This window comes from Homo sapiens, chromosome 13 (genome assembly GCF_000001405.40).
Source record: "Homo sapiens chromosome 13, GRCh38.p14 Primary Assembly".
NCBI classification, from domain to species: Eukaryota; Metazoa; Chordata; class Mammalia; order Primates; family Hominidae; genus Homo; species Homo sapiens.
Window position 1 is genome coordinate 104,034,167 of NC_000013.11, and position 5,669 is coordinate 104,039,835.

A 5,669-nucleotide genomic window follows, 5' to 3' on the forward strand; every position below is an offset into this window, starting at 1 on the left:
TATAATTATCTCTTTTACTATCTCCATAGAATTTAAAGATAGTTATTATTACTTTAATTTTATATAATTTAATATCTCCATGGAATTTAAAGATAGTCATTATTTCAATTTTGTAGAAATAATGTAGAAATTGAGACTCAGACAGTTTAAATGATTTATGCAAAGCCTGTCAAAAAATGGCAGAACAAGAACTTGAACAGAGCTAACTCCAAAGATACATACATTCATGTCTTGCCAACAGAACTACCTACTGATCTGCTCTATATACAACGCGGAGATATTGAGCAGGAAATTGCTAAGGTATCAGCAGCCTAGGTCCCTGAGCTTCGTACATGTTGGTGTGTTTTTGAAAGATTTGGGTGAGCTTCAAGGAAGTAGAGGGTATAAATGCTAACAACGTGTCTTATGGCCTGGGGAGAGGAATAAGCAGGATTAGTGACCACCCTCAACTGAATATGTTAGGTCGAGTTCAAGCTAAGAATTTTTTAGCTTCTCAAACAAAGCAACATGAAATTCCAATGAGTTAAATAAGATTGAAGTTTATTACTCTCCTAGGTCCATCTCTGAGTGTTCAGGATGCTGGAATTTCTCTGCCATTTCTCAACATAATGATTTCAATCTTTGTGTTCATATTAGTAACCCCAGTTTTTGCTGTGTCCCAGCTAACAGGGATGGGGGAAAGTGAAGTGCGGGAAACTTCCTTTTTAAGAATACAAACAAGTGCCCATATTACTTCTACTCACATCTCATCTCTGCAAACTTAATCACTGTTGTTCACTGAAAGGAAAAGGGAGATAATGTATGCTGGGGACAATTATTGTCTCTGCCACACTTTGAATGTATCCCTGAGAGGACATTCAAGAGGTATTAAACAACCTAGAAACACAAACTGACTTGTTCAGACACAGTGACAGGTCCAGACATATGAGCAATTCAAACAACATGTATCTCTCGGGCAAACTTACATTTCAGACTTTATGCTGAAGAAAGTTACCCAGTGAGAACAGCCTGGAAACACTCCCTCTCCCACTCTGCAACCCACAAGCAGTTGTGATTCCATACTTACTCTTTATTGCACACGAATGTTCTGGTCATCCTCACTCACTAATTAAGTGATCACATAATACACGATATTATATACAATGTATATAAAAGAAATACTAATAATGCCGAACGAATTGATCATTCTAGGTGCAATTTATTTTATGTATCTGGGCATGATCCAAATATGATATATATATATATAAACATCTAGACATGTTGTACAAACCATGATTGTTATTTGAAAGATGTTGAAAATCACAGCTAATCAGGTATTTTGAGGCTACTTACAAGAATTTTATGTTTTTCTGACCACTTGTTTATTTAACAAATTTCCATCAATCTTGTATTCATGTTCTATTGCTGCATAAGAAGTTGCTGCAAACCTACCTTAAACTTAGCTTTGAACATCACACATTTAGTGTCTTACAGATTTCAAGGTTCATGTGTCAGTCTTGGCTTAATTGGGTCATATGCTCAGTGCTTCACAAGGCTGTAATCAAGGTGAAGGTCAGAGGGAATTTGCTTTTGGAAGATTGACTGGTAAAGAATCAGCTTCCAAGCTTATTTGGGATGTTGGCAGAATTTATTTCATGAAGTTGTGTGACTGAGATCCTTTTCCTTGCTGGCTGTTGGCTGATGCTCTTAGCTCTTAGAAGCTGCCCCCAGGCTTTAGCCAGTGACTTACTTCACATGCCCCTTCAGCATGAGGTGGCTTACTTATTCAAGGCCAGCAGGAAAATCTCTCCTTCTCAAGTAGGCTCACATGGAATCTCATACAATATAATGAAATCTGTGGGTAACTATCCCATTACCTTGGCCATATAAAATAATCAAAAGAATACCCCATTACCTGTGTTACACTCTGTTAAATAGGAATGAATCATAGGTGCTACCCTGCTACCAACTCTTAAAAAGAGAGGCTTACACCAGAGTGTGGATTATTTTGGGTATTTCAAAATTCTACCTTCCCCACATATTAACAAGTTATTTTATATATATATATATATATATATATATATATATACACACACACACACACACACGTATATGCGTGTGTGTGTGCATATCTCCAACATAATACAGTGCATGAAATTGATTATAATAATTTTGTAAACATGTGGGAATATTACAAAATTGACTTTGTAAGAGAATCTGATTATATACACTTACACCTATATTGAATTATATGTATATGTTCATGTATATATGTGTATTAGGGTTCTCTAGAAGGACGGAATGAATGGAATACATATATATATATATATATAATGTTAACTCACATGATTACAAGCACCCATGATAGGTCTTCTGGAGGCTGAGGAGCAAATAGAGCCGGTCCGAGTTCCAAAACTGAAGAAATTGGAGTCCAGTGTTCCAGGCCAGGAAGCATCCAGCATGGGAGAAAGATGTAGGCTGGGAGGCTAGGCCAGTCTCTCTTTTGACATTTTTCTGCCTGCTTATATTCTAGCCTCAATGGCAGCTGATTAGATGGTGCCCACACAGATTAAGGGTGGGTCTGCCTTTCCCAGCCCACTGACTCAAAGGTTAATCTCCTTTGGCAACACCCTCACAGACACACTCAGGATTAATACTTTGTATCCTTCAATCCAGTCAAATTGACACTTAGTATTAACCATCAGAAGTCCACCCCTTGTCAACTTGAATCCATACACATCTCCTAAGATCATATAGAATCTTCAAATGAAGACAATAATAAGGTCATAATTACACCTAACATAATACAGCTATCCTTCCAACAACCAGAAACGCACCAATCCCCAACCCAAATATTATTACATATAGTTAACAATACTTACGTGTTGATGTGAAGTCAATAAATCTTATATCACATGAGAAAGGAGAAAGGAAATAAAATGAAGATATTTTTTAGTACAATTATATACATGCAGAAACTTTTTTTTTTTTTTACAAAAGAAGGTGGAAATACTAATGACAATTAGAATCCTCCTTTCTGCAGCTGGTCACGTGGTCATAGCTGGTATTGATGACCACCTTGATGATACCCATTCTGTATCCTCTTTGCCTTCAGAAAGCACTTCAGCAGGCCATGGTTTTATTTCCTGGTGGAGTGACCCACACCTTCATTCCTGAAGGGTCTGGGCCATTTGTAGTCCTGGCTGAATTGGGCTGTTGTAGTTTCCCATTGCCTTAATCACAGGTCACGGTAATTCTAAGTGATGTCCTAAGGGATCTCCTGTATTCCATGCATACTCTTCCTTACCTCCATTGTGGAGTAGCAGACTGATTTCATCGTGATAGTCCGGGTCAGTCATCCCAGCCAACACCGTAACTCCCTTCTTAGCCTGTTGACTTAAAGATAAGAGGAGCCCAAAGTGTCCAGGTGGCAATCTTAACTTCCAGTTTAATGGAATTGTTGTTGTGTCTCCTGGTGGCAGCATTCTTCCCGCTGTAACTAAGACCTCTAGGCCAGCAGAATGTAATGTTGCGGGAACAGGAAGCAAAAATTTGGCTAGTGGATCACTGGGGGTGATGGTGAGTGGTGCCACCTCCGCTGTATGGATGTGCATATACATGCGTAAATAGATTTATTAACATGAATATATATATATATATATATATCATGAGAAAGATTATTGAACTAATTTATTTTCTAACTTGAAAGAGTGAAATTATTTATTGTGATTATAGTGAAATACATAAATGTATTCATATTGTGATAGTAACTCAATACATTAGAACAATATTTATTCCTCTGTGAAAGCTGATAAATTAGAAAATATGATGAATGTTGTTAGAAGTCTAATTCTTAATGACATAACCTATGAATAAAAAACAACCCCAAATAAATACAAAATGCAAATAGAAATTGTATGAGGGAGTTTGGAGGAAAAACAATAAAATAATTTTTAAGTTCACATGACATTTTTTCATGAAGTAGGTTCTACGAATGACCCTCCTGTTATAATATGGCACATGTAATTTAATCATGGATAAGCTAAAACACAAACTTGTTTCAAAAATAAAAGACAAATTTGAACATAGTACAATATCTTATTAAATAAGTTAAATTTGTAGTTAAAAAAATAAAAACTTCCCACAAATAAATTTTACTCCCATATGGTTTCACTAGTGAAATCTACCAAACATTTAATGAAAAACAACCAATTCTATAAAAAATCTCAGAATATTGAAATATAAGAATACTTGCCAAATCATTTTCTGAATATATTATTTTGATATCAAAATTTTAAAAATATGAGAATTATGAATGAGGAAAATGGAAATATATATATATATACACACACACTAAGAAAACTTCAGATCAATATTTCTCATAAACATGGATAAAAAATCCTAAGCAACATTTTATCAACTTGAATGGAATAATATATAAAAAGGATATTACATCATGAACAAGTGGATTTTATGTTCAATATGCACAGATATTCTTGTTTTGACTTAACAGTCAAAATTCAATCAATGTAATTCACCATGTTAAACTAAAAAAGAAAAGCTGAATTAATCAACTCGATTTAATATATAGAGAAAAATCAAAATCCATTCCCTAGAAATATGCTGAGCAAAATAGATATATGAGAAAACTTCCATAACCTTAACCTGACAAAGGGCACGTACCACTAAAAAATAATTAAAAAAAAGAGCCTAGAACTAACCATTACCCTTAAATGTGAGAGACTAAAAGATTTCCTCCAAGATCAGGAAAAAGGCAAGAATGTCTACTTTTACCTACATTATTCATCATTGTGTTGGAAGTTCTAGCCAGTGCCACCAGGCAAGAAAAATAAATAAAATGTTTACAAATTGGAAAAGAACAAAATCAGAGTACCTTTATTCACACATAGATAATTATCTATGCAGAAAATGTGATTAAATCTGCAAAAAATTACTAGGACTAATGATTGAGTTCAGCATGGTAGCAGGATACAAGATCAATAACCACAATCAATTGTGTGACTTTATACTTGTAATGAGCAATGGGAAATTGAAATGGTAAAAAGTCCTATTACCACAAGACAGTTTATGTTCCCAACAACCAATTGTTCCTCCAGAATCATCACTTAAAAAAAAAATCTGGCTGCCCCTTGATTTCAGCCTCGTGTGACCTTAGATAGAACCCACCACCAGACTTCATTTGAGATCCAGTTGAGTCAACCTGCACTTTTCACCTAGGCAACAATGAAATGATACATACATGGTGATTCTGTTATTTATTTATGTATTTATTTTTATTTTTTTATTTATTTGAGACAGGGTCTCACTCTGTCACCCATGCTGAAGTGCACTGGCACAATCATGGGTCAATGTAGCCTGAAAATCCTGGGCTCAAGGAATCCTCCCACTTCAACCTTCTAAGTAGCTGGAACCATAGGCACATACCACCATGCCCAGCTAATTTTTATATTTTTTGTAGAGACAGGGTCTCACTATATTGTCTGGGCTGGTATTGAAGTTGTTTTAAGACAGAAAATTTGTGGTATTTTTATGGCAGCAATAGACGACTAATACATCCTATATTTGTTTTTATTTAAGTGGACTTTTGGGTCTTTTTAAATTTTAAGTTCTGGGGTACATGTGCAGGACATTCAGGTTTGTTACATAGGTAAATATGTGTCATGTTGGTT